The sequence below is a fragment of the Homo sapiens genome, chromosome 5 (genome assembly GCF_000001405.40).
Source record: "Homo sapiens chromosome 5, GRCh38.p14 Primary Assembly".
Lineage (NCBI taxonomy): Eukaryota > Metazoa > Chordata > Mammalia > Primates > Hominidae > Homo > Homo sapiens.
Window position 1 is genome coordinate 26,835,210 of NC_000005.10, and position 24,147 is coordinate 26,859,356.

Here is a 24,147-nt window from a genome sequence, read left to right on the forward strand (position 1 = left end):
ATTGATGAGAAATAACTGAATGTGGTAACCCACTCCTCCAGAGTGAATCCAGAGTTTGCTTTTCCAACCAGAAGCAAGTTACCTGGGTCTGAATGTAATGGAATCCTTAAGGATTGAGTGAGAATTTTTTCATGCATGGTAAAAAAGCTGACTTATCCAGACCTTGTATGATAAAATCTCATTCCAAATGGAATACTGTATTAAATTCTAAAAAATTATATTCAGATCCTCAAGTGTCTTCAGAAAACTTGAGTGATCTTCCCTAGAAGCAAAGTCAAAAGAAGAATTTGAGGAATCCTATGTGTAACAGTGAACTAGTACAAGGCCCCTAGTACACACACTTGTTTTGAGTGGGTTAGGAAATGAGACTTATTCATTGGCCCAATATAGAGGAGAATTCCTTTAATCATTCAATCTAAAATCTATTGGAGTATTAAAACAAAAACTGAATTTTAGAGAAAATATATATTTAATTTTCAATATATTTTTTTTCTTTCCCGGGATTCTTAGCCCACAAGAGCATAAACAGTGAACTTCATCTCCAGGTATTCATATTTTTATGTAGTCCTCTCTGACCATAAGCCATAAACATGACTGATTTGTAGAATTAATAGCATACTGTGGCTTTCAAGTTTAGGTTATAAAAGAAATTGTGACTTCATTTTGTTTTATTTAATATTTTGCTCTGAGGGAAGCCTACTGCCATGTTGTAAGGACATTCAAACAGCCATATGGAGAGGTCCACATGGTCTGAAGCTGTCACCTTTTGTTGATGGCCAAGACCAACTTACCATCCATGTTAGCCAGCCATCTTGGATATAAATCTCCCAGCCATAGTGGAGCCTTACTATGACTGTAGTCCTGGCTAAAATCTTAACTGCAACTTCCTGTGAGTCTCCAAAGCAGGACAATTAAACTTTTATGCACCTGATTTTCTGACCCAGAAACAATGTAAGAAAAAACACATTTATTATTTTAAGCCACTAAATTGTGAGGAAATTTATTATACAGCAATAGATCATTAATAGCCCCTGTTCTTCTTTTCTTTTCTCTTTCTTCTATGTTTTCATTCTAATCATCCAAAATAATATATTGTCTTACAATCAGTAATCTGGGGTATAAGTGACCATATTAAGTCTTGCCTTTAAATATAATGAGCTTACTAGCACACCCACATTTCAGAGTTATCATAAGAACTCTTTTCTTGCAAATTATAATTGGGTTTCAATAGAAAAAATACATATATACACACATATTCATGTTTAATATGTATTTATGCATAAATTCATATTTATGTATATATGTATTTACATACATTAAAGTATTATATAGATGTATATATATTTATAAAGTAGGAACCTGAGATAAACAGACTTTAGCGGAGGAAGTTATCTTTTGGCTTTTTTATCTACTATTCTCTTTTTTTCCCCTTTTGTTTTTATGATTTGATTTGTTACTGTGTTTTACAGGCACAAAAATGTTTATCTTTCAATAGCAGCAATAATAATATCCAATATATAATTTTACAAATAGCTACTGGCTTTTTTCTCTGACTTTTACATTAAGCGCTGACAGTTCAGCTTTTATAGTTTATTTACAATGTAATTAGGGTGAGTAAATTTCATATTAAGATAAAATGAACAGAAAAATATTACCAAAAATAACAAATGGAAAATGGAATGCGATACAATATAAAATTGTATCTAACAGAAAATATAGTATATTAATATTGACAAGTTGATGCAAAATGTGGAGATCAATTTAAAAAATGAAATCACACCCTTTATTCAGACTTTAAAGCTAAAATAACCTAAGACTGTAGAATGTTTCTTATTTATCTATCTCTTAACTCCTGGGCTAGTTTCCAGATTATTGTCATAGTATTAATTTGCTTAATACATTGTTTTGTAAGTTTAGTTTCATTTCAAGGATTTCTTCAGAATTTCCAGATATGGTTTTTACTGTTTTATTAATGTTATTGACATTTTTTTATTATTTATAGTACATGTTCTTTCTTGTTTGGATGCTTGGCAGTTCACACTTTGTAAGTAAAGAATTATCCCTACAACTGCTTGCATTTCCACTCGCCTTATTATACCAAAAAACAAAATTGACAAATTAGTATATGATAAAAACTTTTTAGTATGTTATAACAAGTAATACACAATAAATTTTTCCCAAGTGATTCCTGACTTTTAATTACTTACTTATATGTTTTTTTCTAGTCCAAAAATCTTTCTTGGACTTCTTTTTGTTAGACTCTCTAGAAACCAGGATTACTTTTAAAGGAATAATTATGACATCTCACAAATGTAGCTTGTCTTTTAAATTCCAGTGTATTCTGCCCTTTTGTATGGCTCCTTCTGTGTTTTTTCTAAAACTTTTTCAGAAGTACATATTAGATTTTGCTTTCCTGAAATTATGCATGTTTTTCAGTATCTTTTTTTGACATTATTATTTTGTTATTGCATGTGTGTGTGTATGTGTGTATTTGTGTATTTGTGTGTGTTTAATGTGTTTGATGTTTATCATATTTGCAGTGTGGTCATGTTTGGCTGAGAAGTTTGTGAATAATATAGCTTAAGAATTCATAGATTTTCATGTTTGATGTATTGGACAAAAATATCCATTTCTTCCCAGATGTAGATAAAGGAGACTGGGGAAAGAGAGTGACCAAATCGTTAATCACCGAGATAATTAAAACGGAAATAGTCCTGGAAGGCACCTGTTGTGGCCTTTCCTGAAAGTATCTTTGTTCAGATATGTTTAATGCCTAAGTCCTAAAGGAGATCAACTCAATTATCTCTAGTACATATTTTAAGTGTTAGAAATTTTACTTGAAACAAAGACATTTTAAATTTAACTAAATATGATAGTATTTATGAGCAATTATCATGAATCTTAGAATTGTCACCAAGAGTTAAAATTATTATGTTATTTCTGAGTAAATTTTATAATTATTGCAAAAGGTCATCCAGTAGAGTTTAGTTAAAATCTTTTGTCTTAGCAATAAATGTAAAATATTTCTACTTGCTACTAAGCAAAATATAGAAATAGAAATGAGCTTTCATTTAAATTATTTATACATATATACACAGATTTTTGAATTGAGCTTTTGTCTGTGGGTCTACGTGAACAATAGCTTTGGCATAATTTATAGTAATCATTCTAAAATTTAAAAATTTCCAGCAAATGTAAGAAAAATAAAAAGATGACGAATCCAAAATTCTTATTCCAAATTTTGTGACAATAGCCACACCTTCCCTGAGGGTCCTTGAATCTCTGATTTTATTTGAGTGACCTAGAGGTTGACACATTTTAACAGTGAAATAGGTTAGCTTTCGTTATTCATTTGATAATAAAAGCCATAGGAGTAGCCATGAGACATCAGGAAGAATGATCATATATACATTAGTGTCCCTGCTGGATTTCATACTACTCACAATTTTTTAGTTTTTTCCAAACCCAGTCCCTTAACCATGGCCAACCCATATCTAGCCAAATATCCTGTAGTTAAAAGTCAGCACTGCTCAGGACACAGATATAATATTTTTGTTTGAAGAATGAATAAAGACTAGAGCTGCCTGCGGACCCAGGTAAGATGACTAGCCATTCCAATGTGACTAGAACAGGAGGTATAACAACACACTGGACTTTTGGTGACAAAATTGGTACAGTCTTGAGTAAAAAGGGAAAGCTGGTTTTCCTAGGAGTATTGGTGTAGGAATTAATACCACTGCCATAACTTAAGTACATATGTTATTGGTCAGTTAGGTAGACAGAATAATAACTCCATAAAGATACCTACCTCCTAATTTCAAGGGAATGTGAAGTGTAACTTTAAATGACAAAAGCGACTTTGCAGATGAGATTAAGATTCTTGAGAGAGGTAAAATATTTTGGATTTTTGAGGTGGTGCAATATAATCACAAGCGCTTTTATAAAAGAGAAGTAGAATGGTCAGAAGTAGAAAGCTATTGTGATTATGAAAGCAGGGGGAGATTTGAAGATGCAAAGCCTCTGGCTTTGAAGATGAAGAAAGATCAGATGACCTAGGAAATCAAGGTGGCCTCCAGATGCCGGAAAAGAAAATAAATGGGTTGTGCCCTGGAGACTCCAGAAGAGACTAGCCCTGAAGTCATAGTGACGTTAGCCTACAGAGATTAATTCTGGACTTCCCACCTCCAGCATTGTATAGTAATAAAATTTTGCTGCCTTAAGCCATTCAGTTTGTGATAATTTGTTAGAGCAGCAATAAGAAACTAAATAAAGTCCAATTCACTGAGCTTTGTTGTTATTTCTTGGACAATTTAAATGCTTTTGAAAAATCATTGTGTTTCCTTTTATCCATATGATTAAAAACATATATTAGCTATTAACTACTAATATCTTACTTTTGCAAATAATTATATGCATGATAATATCTGCTTGGTTAAAATGTAATTTCTAACATCCCTTTCCTGTTTTCCATAATTTTCTTTCTGACTAACCTATCAGGGACACAGGAAATATATTGTTGTGTCATCAAGAGCATGCAGCCCATTGGAATGTGAGATTTGTATTTAAAACTTGATTTTAAAGTGAATAGCTTAGGCAACTAACACAATGCATTTAATCAACCAGAATCAGGCCTTGTGTCCAACTCTAGCTATAAGAGAGGTGAGGGATTTTGTAACTGTCCTTTTTAACCTGCAGAGGATGGACAGAGCACCGAGGCCGAGGCGGGTGGATCACGAGATCAGGAGATCGAGACCATTCTGGCTAACACGGTGAAACCCCGTCTCTACTAAAAATACAAAAAATTAGCCAGGCGTGGTGGCGGGCGCCTGTAGTCCCAGCTACTAGGGAGGCTGAGGCAGGAGAATGGCGTGAACCCGGGAGGCGGAGCTTTCAGTGAGCCGAGATCGCGCCACCGCACTCCAGCCTGGGCGACGGAGAGAGACTCTGTCTCAAAAAAAAAAAAAAAAAAAGACTCAGTTGGGAACTATTGGTGTTTAGCTAGCCAAAAGAGTCTGCCAAAAGGTTGGTCCTGAAGCCCCAAGGGAAATACAAGTCGGTTAGGGGTCACACATGTACACTAACAACGGCTCATTGGAGGGTTTGGATGGCACTAGGAATTAAGACTTGTTTTTATAGGCAGAATATATGGCTGGAAAACAATTGTAAGAATTTTAAAGGGCAGAAAAGATGAGTAATTCTGCAAAAACTAATGAGACTGTAAAAATGGTATGGTCAATATCATAATAGAATTCATCAATTGTTTTCAAAAGAGAAAATTGTTAACATGTTGGAAAAGTATTAATAAATGTAAAGGCATGCATGGATCTGCTCAGTTTGGACTATATTATTAGCTTTTTAATGTTGAACACATTATTTCACCCTTTTGAGTTTAATTTCGTCACATATGTTGAAATTGATGACATTAGTATTTGGTTATTAAAATGAAATAAAATAAGTAGACATATAATGCGGCTACTGATCCCTGGAAAGTCTTCTGAATAGTTTTTTCCACTCTTCATCCTATACATCCAGTTTATTTTTTCTCCTTAAAAATTATTCATTAACAAAGACTCAATAATTTTAAATTCATAAAAGCCTAGTCAATGGATTACAGTTTAGTTTGTTATGAAAAAATGTGTTTTCTTAACAAAACAGAGTTGTAAAATATCTCTTATTAAGCTATTAATTAGTGATATATTGAAAATGATCTTTCATCAAAGCACATTGTCAATAGTAGTAAGCAATATTTAGATAATCTCATATTTTTAATTAAAAGAATCAAAAAGTTTGCAGGTGTGAAAAAGTCATTTTCTTCACTGGTGGCCAGGTTCCTGGATGAGGCACCTATAATAAAAGAGATTAAAAGAGAGAAGCGTACAGATTCATTTAATGTAAATTTTACACGACATGTGAGCCTTCAGAAATGTTTCCAGAGAAATAGGAGCCCCTGTGTATTTCTGTGCTCAGATTTGATGAGGAGTGGTCAGTTGTGGGGAAGTATGATTGGACAAAAGATATGTTCTGATGGTAATGAACTGGTGGTACTTAGCAGGCCTGTTTGTTCAGATGTTTGTTGACATGTGTGTGTCTTTGAGGATGACACTGTTTCTTTCTTCTGGATATAGGGAAGCCACCTGTGGAAAAAGATCTTTTGACCTGCTTCAGGGGAGAAGGGTGGGGGAAAGCGGACAGTGGACTCCCTACTTCTTCTTTTTTCTTGAATGCCAGTGTGTCATATTGGGGTAGTGTGTCCTGAACCTCATCAGGTGAAAGTCATACTTGAAGTTCATCTTCTTAGAAATTGCATTTTATTTATTCATTTATTTATTTATTTTGTAAAGACAGGGTTTTGCCATGTTGCCCAGATTGGTCTTGAACTCCTGGGCTCAAGTGGTCCTTCCAACTTGGCCTCCCAAAGTGCTGGGATTATAGGCATGAGTCACCATGCAGGCTGGAAATTTTATAAGAATGTAAACATAATGCTATTGGTATACTATTTTTTAACTTAATTTTGAGTTGCCTTTGGTGCAAACACTCATAATTAGAAAGTTTGAGTTAAATATTGAAGACCAATTAAAAGTTTCAAATGATTAATAAGCATGAGATTATTAACCAGCAAAATGACATTTGTGGTCAATGAAACAATACAAGCAAATTATAAGGCACAAAAAAACAAATACAAAAGGAAGTATAACAAAGGGATGATAATTTTTGATATAGAACCATTTAAAAATTGGCAATACTACAAGGTAGACATGATTCTTGCTGTGTACTTTACAAATGTCAGTGTTATTACCTTTTATTCACATTGAATAATGATGGATCCTTGCAGTCAGTTTCCTATAACCCTCAGGATATGATGTATGTGATATATGAGCTAGGGTCAAATTTTATTTCATAAATCAAAAGAATGTGTCTTTCAATGACACAAATAAAATGTAAAGGTTAAGTGCTTCATCTTCTAGACTATGAGGATACAATTGTATATTTATGAAAACATCTTTAAATATTTTTCCATTTCCATATTTTATTAAAAACAAATATTATTTTATTTCTCTTTAAATGTCTTGTTTTACTTTGTAGTTTTGTATGACATGTAAATAGAAAGGGAGAAACATATTTCCACTGTAATAAGGATCTTGGTTTTATTCCATAATATTTAATCACCAAAATAGAATTTTTAAAAAGTGTAAAACATTCACTTCCATAAAACACCCGGAGTCCTCGCATTTACGTTTCTAAATCATTACACATGATCCATTATGTATCAGTGAAAATGTCAAACATTTAAAATGATCTCTGTTCATTTAATGAGTCATTTAAGATGCTATTTTATTTTTTCTTTCTGTAGAAACCATTGAAAGCTAATTCACATAAGTATATCACACATTGTCATATTTTTATAGTATTGCATATGGAATGACGGTACTACTAAATCAAGTTTAAATAGTCATAGTATAGTTTAACCAGAAATCAACAACCAACAACATTGTCACTCAGGGAAACAAAACAAACAAAAATCATGCTTCCAGGGCACGTCTATTACTTTTTTATTTTTGTTCCTCTATTTATGACAACCTCCTCTTCCTTTAAAGATTTTGCTTATGCCCCACTCCCACCCCCTCACTGTATCACTCATCTTATTTCTGTTTCTGGATTTTCCTACTCTTCCTCTCTCCTTCAAACCATATTTTTCAGCTTGGAACTATCTATATATTTATTTAGTAATTTACACTGACTTATGTATGTTCTTGGTACTCATTTCTATCCATACACAGATTTTGACCTTTTACACTGACCACTGAGATATTGTTTCTCAAACTGTTTGATCATAATAATAACTTAATAATACATAGTGAACAGGAATCCCTATAAATTCAAAACTTTTCACCAAAAATACAGAATTCTCTAAAAATCACTGGCTTTACTTTTCAAATTTATGGTAAAGTTTTTATTTCACTCTGTGATATGTTGACTACATGAAACAAAATTCTAAATTGCTTAGCTGATATTGTGAAATGCAAATTTTCTTAAACCAGGACAGGCACAGTGGTTCACTCTTGTAGTCCCAACACTGGGAGACCAAGGAGGGCAGATAGCTTGAGCCCAGGAGTTTGAAAGCAGCTTGAGCAACATGATGACACCCTATCTCTACATGTCTATAGTCCCAGCACTCAGGAGGTTGAGGAGGGAGGATAACCTAAGCCCAGGGAGGCCGAGGCTTCAGTGAGCTGTGATCACACCACTGCACTTCAGCCTGGGTGACAGAGAGGAGACACTGTCTCAAAAAAAAAAAAAAAAAATCTAAAATCCAGATAATTTTTTTGATTTGAAAACACAAAAGCAGATGAATTGGTATGAAGTATCTGTAGTGTTCATTTTCTCTGTTTACATGAATATTGGTGTTTTATTGCATATATATGATGTGTTTGTTTAGCTATATACTACACTAGACTACATAGTATATGCATCAAATTGGATTTTGAAAAAACAAACATTTAATTTGAAACACATTTGCCTGCATGAATTTCTATGTAATGCGGACCAGAACCAGCTAAATTGCATAATAATCCTTTCCTTGTATTTGCAAGTATAATTATGGCTTTAGGGTTTCTTCTGGTTAATTAGCTCATATGTGGAGGTCAGAGTGAGGGCTAAATTCTATTTGGAGAAGAAATGATCTACATCTTACAAATGTATTATGAGTGCAGGTGTTAACTCTTCTTTGCAAATGCGGAGACTGAGAAAAGGAAAGATGAGATAGCTTGCCTAAGATCATATTACCAGGTCACCACTGAATCACAGCAAAGCACCTTCCTCAATGATTATATTATTGCTTTCCTCTCTCTCATCTATAATTCCTGCAGTATTCTTCTCTGAGATAGGATTCTTAGTCTCAGAAATGAATGTAAGCTCGATATTACTAGGTGACAATAGTTAGAAAACATCAATATTTTATCTGAAGCTTTCAGTTGCCTGTAATATGGCATTATGGCAAGCCCCAAGGAAGAGAGACATAGATTTTTAAATGTGGTTGTATTGTTGATACTTACGGAAGATCAGCATGAGCTCAAAATCTGATTCTTGTGTTTAGTGAAAATCAAGGTTAGGTGAATTTAGGGTGCTACTATTTCTGGGAAAAAGTAATTGCGTGATTAATTGATTCATTATTGTTAAATAGTCTTGTCTTTTTATGTCCATGCTAGTTTATACTTTAAGATTTCTATACAGAAGTATTTTCAAGAAATTGAAGCACTATTGAGTTAAAGGCAATAAAAAATGTCACAACAGTTCAAATCAGTGGTAAATACAAGTCATGGAGAAAATTATTATTATATGATTCATCCTAACTTAAGAATTGAAGGTATTCTTTTGCTTATAATATCACCTGTGCTTTTTCAAGTATATTTCACTTAAATAAAAGAGTGAAAAATATAAAATACCACATGTAAGCAACCTGCCAAATACTCATACATTATGGGTACTGAGGTCCCATAAGAAATGGAAATTTTTAAATCAGCAAATAGCTATATAGTTTATTGCAGTATTTTACATTAGTAAATTTTTAAATTACACTTTATTGTCCTGTAATACAAATATGACTAAATGACAGGTTGTCTTTTATGTTTCAAATATAACTGAATATAATCATATCAAATAATTTAACATAGGCCTTTAAAACTACATATAAATATGTGTTATATTTTTATCTTAGTCCATTTTGGCTGATATCAAAAAAGTACCCCAAACTGGGTAGGTAATAAACAACAGAAATTGTTTCTTACAATTCTGGAGGTTGGAAAGTCCAAGATCAGGGTACCAGCAGATTCACTGGTCAGAGCCTACTTCCTGGTTCATAAAATGTGATCTTTTCATTGTGTTTTCATATTGTGGACATGGCAGAAAGCTCCCTTGGGCCTTTCTTATAAGAGCACTCATTCCATTCATGAGGGCAAAGCCCTCACATCCTAATCACCAACAAAAATGTCCGAACTCCTAATACCATCACTCTGAGCGTTAGGATTTCAACATAGGAATTTTGGGAGGACACAAACATTCAGACTATAGCCATCATTATACACAAAAATAATATACCACTTAAAATTTCATGTTTATAAATTGACATTTATTCTTAAGGGAAAAGGTGTTGGTTTACAAAGAGTTTTATAATTACTTATGTTACTGCAATTTATTAAATGAACTCAGTTTGCAAATAACCTTAGGATACATGAAAAATGAAGCATTATCAGAAGGTAATATACAGTCATGAATTGCTTAAGAACATGGATACATTTTGATAAATGCATCATTAGGCAATTTTGTCACTGTGCAAACATCATAGACTGTACTTTCACATATACAACAGAAACCTCTATTGTATAGCATACAACCCACCTAGGCTGGATGGTACAGCTTATGACTCCTAGGCTACAAACCTGTATAGCAGGTTACTGTACTGAATTCTGTAGGTGATTGTAACACAATGATAAGTATTTGAGCATCTAAACAGAAAATCTACAGGCAAATATGGTATAAAACACAAAAAATAGTACACCTGTATAGGATAACTCCACTGTAATCTTACAGGACCACCATCATATATATGGCTCATTGTTGACTGAAACATCCTTATGTGGCACATGAATAACTACTTTTCTGAGAACCACACATTCTAGTTTAGGTTGTATTCAATAATAAAACTGTTTTATTTCTTTACTACCTTTGCAGAAGAGTTTTCTCGATTCTTCTACCCTTTATTGCATATATGTAAGCCTACGAATGAATTTGAAGAGAAACTTTATTGAAATTTTATATTGGATTCTAGGCTGTGCTGGTTGGAAGTGTAGTTCTGTCAACTGAATTTTGAGCCAAGTCATGATTAATACAGCATTTGCATCTGGGTTTTTGTACTAGGTACAGGGAGTGAGAATGGACAGCAGGAAAGTCTTCATTTACTGCAACCTATTGAGTAACTGCATCAGCCAGAATCATTTATTTGAGGCAAAATGTCACATTAATTACCTTCTTGTGAAATCTGGGGCTTTGGCTAGCCACTGCCTTATGATATGCCAGAATTTAAGTAGGGAAATTCCCACCCAAGACTCTAAGAAAATGTCAAAATCAAAGATCAGGTAAAGCTATGAGTACAGTGAGAAAACAAAGTAAACATAAACCAGAGCAAGGGCCACAGAATTGGTAAATTAGAAGAAACAGGAGATGTGCAAAAAACTAAATGTGAGCATCAAGATATAAAAGCCAAGGGAATAAGTGCAGAAGCTAGCAGATCAAGAGCAAGTCTAAAAAATTAAAAAATAATACCTAAAAGAGGTTATCATAAGACTATCATAACAGAAAATATATTTACTATTCAATGAGTGGAATTGGATCACCATAAAGGTCTTAATCCTCATCCTTTTCATTCTAAGTAGGCTGAGGAGGAGGAGGGAGAAGAGGGGTTGGTCTTGCTGTCTTAGAGGTGGCAGAGGCAGAAGAAAATCCACTTATGAGTGGGCCCTCGCAGTTCAAACATGTGTTGTTCACGGGGCAGCTATAGACGTAATACACAGAAATACATTGAGTACAACATTACCTAATTCAAAGTGCTCCAAGAGTGTACATTAAAAACATACAAACACAAAACCTCTAAAACTGTTAGGTAAAGAACCATTAGCTAGTCAAAAGAGAAGTTAAAATCTTCATCGATTGTGGGGGATCAGTCAGAGTGGTGGGAAAAAGTATAGGAAAGGACGCAAACCTTCTGCAAGGTCGGAAGGTTCTTCAGAGCCCCGGGGGAGAATAGCTAAAGGCAGCTGTTACAATATTTCTATATATACTGTTGCTGTTGAGCTGATAACTGTTTTCCCATGATGAAATCCTAACTTTAAAATCCCCTAGAACTTGGAAATCCCCTGCAGGCACAAATTACTTACTGCACAGTCACTTCACTTTCGTTTACTAGGATTCCCTCGCGATCCGCAGCAGAGTTCCTCACACTGCGCACCACCCGCGGGGTCTGTCCCACAGACCTTGGCTGATGGATGAAATGAGTACTCAAAGACACAGGTATGCAGCGTAAGAGCAGCTAGGTGACTGCCCCGCTCTAGTGGCCAGAGAGCAGCCCTGAGAAGCTGGAGCGGCTTGCTTTCATTCAGTGCAGGCACAGTGCCAAAAACCTGGAGCCAACACAACCTGTAGGTAATTAACCTTTATTGTTCCCTTTCAGGGAATGTCATGCGTGCTGATGACCAAAAGTCAGTTCCGGGTCAAGATAAGTAAACAAGCCTGTTTAAGATAAATTCCTCCACACTGTTTTGTACCTACCCCTTGCCCTCTGCCTCAGGGTTGTAGAACAACCACCTACAGCTATTCTACCCTGGGGCTCTGCAGAACCTTCTGACCATTCAGAAGGTTTGCATCCTTTCCCTATAGTTTTTCCCACCACTCTGACCGATCCCCTACAATTGATTTTTCTGAATGAGTATCCGTGATTCATTATTAGCAGGAAAAATGTATGTTAGAGGATAATTTTATTCCATGATGTGTGCTCTGACTTTCTGGCACATATGTGTCTGAATATTTATCTTCCTGCTTGTAAATGTGTGTGTGTGTGTGTGTATATATATACACATATATATGAATATAAACGTGATTTTATCTTACTTGCAGATGTAGAAGTTAATTTCTAAATTGATCAAATGCATAGAAAGATGAAACATGCTCTAGTTTGAAATAGACACGGTTTTGATTTTTGCTGGTCTTCACTTCCCTGCAGAGAATTTTTTAAATAGTTTCTAAGGAAGATAATAATGCAGTATCCCTGAGTGACTGTCTCATCTTGAGACAGCACAAATTATAGTTTCTAAATCATAATGAATTCGAATTAAATTTTGGCACAGTAATGAGGTTACACCATTTCATGCTTTGTCCTTGCTTCAGTCTTTGTTTTGAAAAGAAAGTGTAAGATTGTTAACAGCTGATATTGTCAAAGCAGATAATGGTAATACAGACATCTTTTCTGAGAGATTTTGACAGAATGCATACCATGGAAACAATCTCTCAGCAACAAAATTGTTCAAATTGGGAAATAATGCCCAGGTCTACTTATCCTTTTTACTTACACTTTTGTGATTTTCTTTAAGCTACTCTAATTTCCCTGTTAAGAAAACTCCAAGGATAAAAATATAGACTGCATTAATACTGTTTCTATTTGAATTAGAAAATCAAAGCAGAGAATCATGGCTTGAAGCTTCCCTTAGATATAATCAAAAGTAGCACATTCATTTTAAATAGGAGAAAACCAAGATTCAGGATGCCAATGTGCATTGCCCAGGGCCATTTAGCTACTGACTGGCAGAGACTCCAGGGAAATAGAATTATCCTTGTTCTTTGTCAGGGGCTATCTTACTTAACTGGTAACAAATGTAGAACATAAATGGAAGAACTCATCGGCATTATTAGGAATGAAATATACTTTACACAACATTTATTTATTTATTTATTTATTTATTTATGAGATGGAGTCTCACTCTGACGCCCAGGCTGGAGTGCAGTGGTGCGATCTCTACTCACTGCAAACTCCACCTCCAGGTTCAAGTGATTTTCCTGCTTCAGCCTCCTGAGTAGTTGGGATTACAGGCACACACCACCATGTCCAGCTTATTTATTGTATTTTTAGTAGAGACAGGGTTTCACCATGTTGGCCAGGCTGTTCTCAAACTCCTGACCTCAGGTGATTCACCCACTTCAGCCTCCCAAAGTGCTGGGATTACAGGTGTGAGCCACTGTGCCCCAGCCTAGTTTTAAGAAAAATTTGATCATAGAAAATACTTTCTTTATATTCCTTTCTATTAATATTATGTGTGAAACTCATATTGATTAAGAGTATATAGAATTTAAACATTATAGTAAATAATGTTTCATTAAATAAGCCCTCAATGAAAAGCCCTCATTAAATATCACACAATATATTTTCTTATTTTAAGACCATCCAGAAAATGATTACATATAAGAAATTGCTTACAATTGTAAAAGAGTCTTATTTCAAATTATACCATGAAAACCAAAGACTTTGAATAATGATATTTTATTTGTAAAAATTTAAAGGGTACAAGTGCAATTTTTTTAGATAGTTATATTCTATAGTGGTGAAGACCGGGGTTTTAGTGTATCCATCACTCAAATAATGTACATTGTACCCATTAAGTGATTTCTCATTTTCTACTGCCCTCTCATACCCTTACCTTTCCAAGTATTCACTATCTAATTTTTCATTCTCTATGTCCATGTGTACACATGAATAATGATTTATGAATAATTATTCAAAATATAAATGCTTCCTCTATTCTATAAGTAGATATATCATCCACATAAATGTATTTGATTTTAATTTATTTCATTTTGTTTACATAGCATGTATTTTCTTATATGAGCAGCTGCAATCTGTTTAAAGATAAAAAAAATCCAGAATGCTCCTTTAGTTGTGCAATTCTGAACAATTAGTTCCAGTGTTGCCTCTGGCACTTTGGATGTAAAAATATAAAGAAAGACAGCAAAAGAAAATATGCTTTAGTTAGTTTAAAACCAGAATGCTTCCATACATTTATAATAGCCATGTCTTTGGGAAATTATAATATAGTCTATCAAGTCAACACATTAGTATTGCAGCCAATACATTCGTATTTCCATGTGCTTTTGCTTAGTCATTCTTTCAACAAGTGTTTAATGAAGACATTTTATGTGCTAGGTTCTATGCACATTGGTGGAATGATGGTGAACAAAACCACACAAGATTGTTAACAACCCAAAGCTTCATTCTAATGAAATAGACATTAACCAATCAAATAATCACAAAAACATGCAAGTACATATAAAAATGTCATAGCTCTGATGAAACAGTACATGATGTAGCCTTGAAAGGGTGCAAGAGGAGGACTTTATCCTTTCAAACAGGTCAAGGAAATCTCCCCGGAAAATGTGAAATTTAACTTAATATTAGAAGATTACAATTTAACAAAGTAGAAGGATGTGTGAGGAGGCAAAGTGAATAATGTCCCAGGATATGGAGATAATGAAAGTAATTTTGGACGGAAATGTCACGTTTGCGGTAAAAGGACAGAATAACTGATGTCTGGAGAGAATGGGAAGGGCATTGTAAGGCAAAGCTGGAGAGGCCTATGAGGGCAGACCTTCTATGTTCTGTTGATTAGCTTAAGGGAAATGGGACTCTAGATCTCTTATTTTATATTAATCAAGACAATAAAAATATTAAATAATTTCCCCAAAAATGTAAAAAAAAAAGAAATGGGAATACATTGATTTGTGTTTTTAATTTTATTTTTAAACATACAGAGTAACATAAATAGGAGCTGAACTTCGTAAAAATATTGCTGAATGCAGAATAAATAAAACGGTTTGAAGGGGGCCAAAGTTAATTATGTGTCTAGATCTTAGAGTGAAAATGTAGTCTTGCTTGCGAAAATAGACGATTTTAAACAAAATTTAAGAGAAAAATAATTGACAGGACGTGATGAGGGATTGGATCATGAAGACTGCAGGGATGTGATAGCATGGTTTCCTGCTTGTATAATTGGGTGGAATCAGTTGTTATTCACTGGGACAGGCAATGCCAGAAAATAACCACTTATGAGGGTGGAAATATCATAAGTTCATTTGGTTTTATTTGGGCTAATCTACCCTATAGTCTGCCAGGAGTGATTCAAGTAGCCATCTTTGTTATAGATCTGGAGCTGAGTAATTTTTTTTTTTTTTTTTTTTTTTGAGACGGAGTCTCGCTCTGTCGCCCAGGCTGGAGTGCAGTGGCGCCATCTCAGCTCACTGCAAGCTCCGCCTCCCAGGTTCATGCCATTCTCCTGCCTCAGCCTCCCGAGTAGCTGGGACTACAGGCGCCTGCCACCGTGCCCGGCTAATTTTTTGTATTTTTAGTAGAGACGGGGTTTCACCGTGTTAGCCAGAATGGTCTCGATCTCCTGATCTTGTGATTTGCCCGCCTTGGCCTCCCAAAGTGCTGAGATTACAGGCGTGAGCCACTGTGCCCGGCCAAGAGTATTTTAAATGAAAGAGTTATATATGGAAGCTGTTCTGACTAGAGGTAACTGTTTTGTAAGAAGTAACTTTGTCTGACAATGTAGAACTGTCATTAAAATCATGTTCATCTAAAGCTAATTTAATGCAATCACATCCTAAAATCCACTCACAAATATGACTTTTATGCAAATAAGTAAAACCTTCTTTATTCTGAAATTAGTGCTGATCTTCAATTTACTACTTACGGACATACTGAAATTTGAACTACAGTCTAATTGCAACAAATAGCATTATCTGAATAGCAATTTTTCTTTATATATGGATTCAAATATATGCCAAAATAGAGTTCATCACCCAAGACAAGTACATTTGACTGATTTGCCTGAGTAGTGAAGACACTGGTATCAAAAGCACTAAAATGTATTTTAATTACTCTCGATGGATTGTTGAAGACATTGTTGCTTATATTCTAGATTTCTGAAACTATCAGTAGTGTAATTTGGGATGTTTCTTAGTTATCGTGCTGTGGGAATCACCTTATATGTGAACCTTATGAAAAAGGCTTCAAATGTTATCTCTTAACTAAGGCTTCATCATTATATATGGTATCGTTTGTTCTTTCAATTTAACATGTAGAAAGAGATTATATGATAAGCACCAGGCATACCACGAATAATAAGACAAAAGTTCTTACCTTTGAGTCACTTACAGTCACTCAGAGTGAGACTATAAATTTGAAGTGCTAGAAAGTGTTATGGGAGGAACACAGGATTCAGGGTCAAGTAATAACCCAGAGGAAAGGGTGGTCAATTTTACTTGGAGGTGAAGCTTAAAGTCTTGAAAGAGTAAAAAGGAAAGTGTTCTTTCTTCAGATAGGATTAAGATTAAGTACAGTTGATGGCAGAGATGCATTTTCTTAGAGACCTATGTCACATCTTCTCCTCTTTTCTAAATCACCTACAACTTTCTTTTACTGCCTTATTCCAAAATAGCTTTCTTCACTAAGAAAATGGAAAGAATGAGAGGAAAATTTCTACCATCAAGTCTATTAAATCTCACTGAATCCATGTTCTTTGTCTTCCTTTCCACCACAATGAATACACTGTTTGCTTTCTTATTTAAGGCAAAAATATCCACTGGTACGCTGTATCCCTTCCCTTTTCCACCATCACTTCATGAACTGTCCTGTCTTCTCCCTTCCTCCCTTCCATCCTTCCTGACTTCCTTCCTTCCTCCCTTCCTATGAAGCTGGCTGGGCTTCTGGGACGGATGGGGACTTGGAGAACTTTTCTGTCTAGCTAAAGGACTGTAAACACACCAATCAGCGCTCTGTGTCTAGCTAAAGGTTTGTCAATGCACCGATCAGCACTCTGTAAAAACGGACCAGTCAGCATTCTGTAAAATGGACCAATCAGCACTCTGTCAAATGGACCAATCAGCAGGACATGGGTGGGGCCAAATAAGGGAATAAAAGCTGGCCACCCGAGCCAGCCTCGACAACCTGCTGGGGTCCCCTTCCATGCTGTGGAAGCTTTATTCTTTCGCTCTTCACAATAAATCTTACTGCTGCTCACTCTTTGGGTCTCCGCTACCTTTATGAACTGTAACACTCACTGCGAAGGTTACGGCTTCACTCGTAAAGACAGCGAGACCAAGAACCCACCAGAAGGAAGAAACTCCGCACACATCTGAATATCTGAAGGAACAAACTCTGGACACACCATCTTTAAGAACTGTAACACTCACTGTGAGGGTCCGCAGCTTCATTGTTGAAGTCAGCGAGCCCAAGAACCCACCGGAAGGAATAAATTCTGGACTCCCTCCCTCCCTTTCTTCCTTCCTTCCTTCCGTTTTTTTTTTTTTTTTTTTTTTGACGGAGTCTCACCCTGTCACCCAGGCTGCAGTGCAATGGCATGATCTCGGCTCACTGCAACCTCTGCCTCACAGATTCAAGGGATTCTCCTGCCTCAGCCTTCTGAGTAGCTGAGATTACAGGCATGAGCTACCATGCCCAGATAAGTTTTGTATTTTTAGTAGAGACGGGGGTTTCATCATTTTCTCCAGGCTGGTCTCGAAATCCTGACCTTGTGATCTGGCCACCTCGGCCTCCCAAATTGCTGGAATTACAGGCATGAGCCACTGTGCCCAGATGACTGTCCAGTCTATTTGCCCTACCAGTCCGTTTTCTATTGAGTCATTTGCATCAACATAAACACTGGTTTTAGTATTTCCCACCTTCAAGAACTCTTTTTAGATTCCAAACTCCTACCAATTAGTATAAACTTCATTAGCTCCTCACATAGAAGAAATAATTTTAATAAGTGCTGGTTTCCTTCTCTCTTTGTCCTTTGCGCACACTTCAGTAGTGATTAAATTCCCACTACTCCATTGACACAACTCGTGTCAGAATTACTAATGGGTTCCAGATGACAAATCCAATGGAAAGCGTAAGACCTCCTCGTCTGTCTCAAGCATCAGTAGCGTTTGACAAAAATAATTATCTGATTAAGTCTCTTGAATTTTAAAATAATTTATATATTGATGAGATTCAAATTTATGTCTCAAGTATAGATCTTACTCCTTAACTCCAGAAAAGTACTTTCTCAATTACACTTCAAACCTAATGTGAACAAAAAAACTGTTTGTAAACCCCTATCAAAACTAAACCTTCTGCAGTACACCAACCTCAGTGAAAAGACATTTCTATTATTTCACTTGCTCAGAACAAATCTAAGGAATCATCTTTGAAACTTCATCATATCTCATATTCAATACACATTGAAAATACCATTGTTTGTTCCACTAAAATTTATCCCTCTTTTTTTTTTTTTTTTTTTTTTTTTTTTTACTGCTACTCACCGTTTCCACTGCAGCCATCCGTGTCTGTGACACCAAGTTTGGTTCTTTATAAACATGTCACATCATATCATCCAAGTGTGTTTAGAAGAATGCAAACGTTAAACTGACTCCAGAATATAGTTAGGATGTGTTTGTGTTTTAGTCATTTTGGAAGGCATAACAGAATACCATAAACTAGATAGTTTAAACAATATATTTTTTTTTTCTCACGAGTTCTGGTTGCTGGGAATTCCAAGACAAAAGTGCTGGTAGATCTGCTGTCTGGTGAAGGCAATCTTCTGATTTGCAGCTGGCCATTATCTTGCGTTGTCCTCACATCATGGCTCTGTGTGTGTGTGTGTGTGTGTGTGTGTGTGTGTGTCACTCCACTTTGCATAGCTATAAAAATACCTGAGCCTGGGCTGTGTATAAAGAAAATAGATTTATTTTGCTTATGGTTCTGACAACTGTACAAGAAATATGGTGCCAGCATCTCCTGCTGGTGAAGCCTCAGGAAGTATATAATCATGGCAGAAAGCAAAGGCGGAGCAGGCATGCTTTTAACATCTAAGATTCAATGGCAGTAAAAGCATTGTGTAGAAATTCCCATTCCATACTACTCAGTCATAAAAAATAATGAAATAATGTCTTTTGCAGCAAGGGATGGATTTGGAGGCCATAATTCTAAGTGAAATAACTCAGGAATAAAACTGAATACTATATGTTTTCACCTACAAGCTATGGGTAGGCAACGGCATACATACAAAGTGGCATAATGTACATTGGAAACTCAGAAGTAGGGAGGATTGTGGGGGATTAGGGAAAAAAAAAAACTACATATTGGGTACCACATATACTACTTGGGTGACAGGTGCACTAAAATCTCAGACTTTACCACTATACAATTCATCCATGTTACCAAAGTCCACTTGACCTTCAAAACTATTGTAATAAAAATATATATCAAAAAAGGAAAATAAAATAATGATGATGAAAAAAGAGAAATTACATTTTCAAAAGGTAGAAATTGGCCTAAAGAAAGGGACAACAGACCCCATGCAAGTCTAAAACTCAGCAGGGCAGACATTACATATTAAAGCTCCAAAATAATCTCCCTTGACTGCATGCCCCACATGCTGGTGTAACGAGTAGGCTTCCAAAGAATTGGGCAGCCCCATTGTTATGGCTTTGCTGAGTATAGCTCATGTGACTGCTCTCATGGTTTGGGTTTGAATGCCTATGGCTTTTTCAGGCTGAAGGAGCACACTGATGGTGTTTCTACTATTCTGGGGTCTGGAGGTAGGTGGTCCCCTTCCCATAGCTCCACTAGGCAATGCCCTGCTGGGGACTTTGTATGAGGGCTCCAACTCCACATTTCCCCTTGGCATTGATATAGCAGAGTATCTCTGTGGGGGCTCCCCTGCCTAAGCACCCAGGCTTTCCCATACATCCTCTGAAATCTAGCTGAGAGCTGCAAAGCCTCCTTTATTCTTGCATTCTGTGTGCCTGCAGGATCTATACTACATGGAAACTGTCAAGACTTATGCCCTCCAAAACAGTGACCTGAGTTATACCTAGGGCCCTTTGAGCTAAGGGTGGAGGCAGAGTGGTGGGTGGGATGCGGGAAGCAGTGTTCTGAGGCAACACAGGGCAGTGGCACCCCAGGCCTGGCACCTGAAGCCAGTCTGTTCTTTTAGGCCTCTGGGCCTCTGATGAGAGGGATGGCCTCAAATATTCCTAAAATAACTTTGAGTCCTTTTTCTCATTGTCTTGAATATTAGCACTTGGCTGCCTTTTAGTTAAGCTAATCTCTTTAGAAAGTAGTGGCTCCATAGGCTGTTTGGATTCTTCTCCTGAAAATGCTCTTTCCTTCTCAACCACATGGCCAGCCTGTAAATTTTCCAAATTTTTATGCTTTGCTTTTCTTTCAATTACAAGTTTCAATTTTAAGTCATTTTTTGCTCCCATATCTGTTCATAGACTGCCAGACCATTTTTTATCACTTTGCTGCTTAGAATTTTCTTCCACTAGATACTCCAAGTCATCACTGTTAAGTTCAGTCTTCCAAGAAGTCATCAAGTATGTACATAATACAGCCAAGTTCTTTACTAAGGTGTAACAGGGTGACCTTTACTCTATTTCCAAAAAAAAAAAAAAAATTCCTTATTTCTATCTGAGACTTCACCATCCTGGACTTCATTATGAATATATATATCAGCATTTTTGTTACAATTACTTAACCATTCTCTAAGAAGTTACAACTTTCCTTTATCTTTCTGCTTTCTTCTGAGCCATCCAAACTTCTCCAACCTCTGTCCATTAGCTAGGTCCATAGCAACTTCCACAATTTTAGGCACCCCACTCCTGGTACCAACTGCTTGTATTTGTATTAGTCTGGTTTGCATTGCTATAAAGAAACACCTGAGATGGGATAATTTACAAAGAAAACAAGTTTATTTTGCTTATGATTCTGACAACTGTACAAGAAGCATGTTGCCCACATCTGTTTCTGATGAGGCCTCAGGGAGCTTACAATCATGGAAGAAGGCAAACAGGGAGCAGGTGTGTCAGATGGTAAATGAGGGATCAACAGAGGGGGAGAAAGTGCCAAGCTCTTTTTAACAATCAGATCTTATGTAAACAAATAGAGGGAGAACTCCCTTATTACCATGGGGAGGGCAGGAAGCGAGTCCTAAGAAATCTGTTGCTGTAATCCAAACACTTCCCACTATGCCCCTCCTCCAACATTGGTGGGCTCAAATTCCAACATGAAACTAAGAAGGGCAAATATGTAAACTAGATCTCTCTTGCTCTCTCTCTGTCTTTCTCTCTCTCTCACTCTCTGTGTGTATGTGTGTGTGTGTGAAAGAGAGAGAGAGAACATAGGACATGCAGGTTCTTTCCTTTCTTTCCTTATTCCATTATGGGCCCTTATTCGATTATGAGGGCTAAACTTTAATGACATAATTACCTCTCAAAGATCCCATCTCCAACTTCAAGTTCCATTACATTGGAGATCAGGCTTTAATATATGAATCGTGCGGGGATATAAGCATTCCATCTATAGCAGTTTGTATAGGAAAAAAAAATGGCTAATTATTGTTTTTCCCCTAGTGAACTATTGCAATTTCTTTACATTCTTCTGTAAAATCTCAAGGTTCTATTTTATTCAATATTTTCTGATATAAATAAATAATTATATGAGCTTATCATGTGTTTGGCATCACATCAAGTAATAGGTATACAAAATGAATGAAAAAGACAAGATATAATTGACTACAGAGAACAACATCATTTAATTTCTACATAGAAAAACAAGTGCTATGATTGGAGGGCATAGTTTTAAACTATACTTAACAGAGGAATTCCAGATGCTCTTTATTCTAGACTCTGCAGATTTAATCATCAGGTAAACTAAATACTTGTCTAAGCACCAACAAGGCAAGGATATCAGCTAAACAAATAAATCTATTAAATTCTTATATTCCTAAAAATGTCTCCAGGAACTTTTAAAACTGCCTCTGTTCCCTTGCTTCTTCAAGTGTTACAAAGCACAAAAGTCTTTAACCACATTTTTCCAAGAATAATTCTGCCTCCTTAATTGTATTAGCATATATGCAGTACTAGAGCCTTTTGTTTAATGCTTATGACTACATTTACCTAAAAACAGAAAAGAGCGTTATTGAATTCTGATGGGTAGAGCCATATGCCATTTCAAACCTAAAATTCTGCTGTACCAACCAATTAAATTTATATGTGGTAGACCATAAAAAGTTAGAAGCAAACGTGTTATTTTTCCAGTTCCTACTTACCCCTACTCTAATGGCTTATTTGACCTTGCCAGGGGCTTTAATTGGGACTTCAGAGTGAGATAACCAGGAGCTTCATAGGCAGAGGAGGAACTTTTTTTTTTTTTTTTTTTTTTGCTGAGGTTGTGGTTATCCTTCTTGTATTTTGTCAAAGAACATTTTTAAATTCAAATATAGAATCCTGGAACAAATATGTAATGTTCCTACGGTGCAAAAAGGGGTAAAATAATGATGACCCAAAAGTAAAGTTAAAAAGAGATCATGCTACACAATGGAGAGTCTATTTTGCATTGATGTTAGTAATACAAGAAGTGAGGTGGAAGTAGAAGAAAAGAGAGACTGACATGGCAGAAATAGAATCTTCAAAGAGCAGAAAAGAAAAAAAAAATGTGGGGGAAAAGAGAGCAAAGGATATAGAGAACTTATATAAATTTTCTCAGTGAGTACAACAAAGTTTTAATAGAATTAGTAATTCTTACACATTGGTTTGTTTCAGAGGGAGGCATTGCAGAGAGACCCCTTTCAAAGCACACAGGAAGTGGCTGAAGTCAATAAAGAAACAGAAGAACAATTTGAATGAAGATGGATCAAAAAGAAGACAGACATTTCTAAAAAGCCATCTTTAAATATACCATTTTACAAGCTCCCTAGTAAATATCTTGAGACAAAATTGGATGACTACACATTTAGCATGTTATCATGATGCTTTGAAAATATGTATGTGTACATATATATGTAATATTTATACACAAAATGTATAACATAATATTTCATATGATAATAAATATAAATGTAAATATAAATTTGACTTAAGAAGGGAGTATATGTTGATAGCGTTGAAGTAAGCTTAGATGATCACCTTAAATGTTGTTACTGTCTTTGTTGCCATAGAATAAACACTTAAAGAGAAATAACAACTTTGTTTTCAGTTTGGAGCATATTTTTGGCCCTGGGATTATTGATTAGAGAGATTAATATGTATTTTCCTTATTTCATCTGTAAAATTTAAGTTATTTTTAAACAGTTATTTTATTTACACATAATGTCAGGCTGGCACCTGGAACAATAAATGTTGAGTTTTATTGTAAACTTGATCCAAGTATTTGAAACTCAATAATTTTTACAGTGCTAATTGATATATTACATGGTTCTAAGAATTAGAAGAAGGAAATAATAATTTAAGATGATATCAAATTAAATATTACAAATTCCCACTATTCCCTTTCTGGGGTAATTGAATAGTTGCTGAGTTTATATAAAAAAAGTTGAATTTAGATGAGGTTGGAAATTATGCTATTAAGTTGACCTTATGTAGAACTAATGCACACTTTAGGGGAAAATTTTCTTTCAGTTGGACTTGAAGAAATCCTTTAATTTCTTAAATTATCCATTTGGAACATTTACTTAAATAAATAGTCATAAAATTCTGTGAACTTTAAATTCTGTGAACCAAAGG

The 24,147-nt window shown here is 35.5% G+C and overlaps 1 long non-coding RNA gene across 1 annotated transcript; it reads left to right on the top strand.

The window, feature by feature from the left end:
- The first annotated feature begins 11,946 nt into the window (after positions 1–11,946).
- Positions 11,947–23,608, top strand: LOC124901159 (uncharacterized). Its single transcript, XR_007059097.1, has 2 exons — positions 11,947–12,063; positions 23,188–23,608. It is a non-coding gene; the product is annotated as an uncharacterized LOC124901159 (long non-coding RNA).
- Positions 23,609–24,147: the final 539 nt, after the last annotated feature.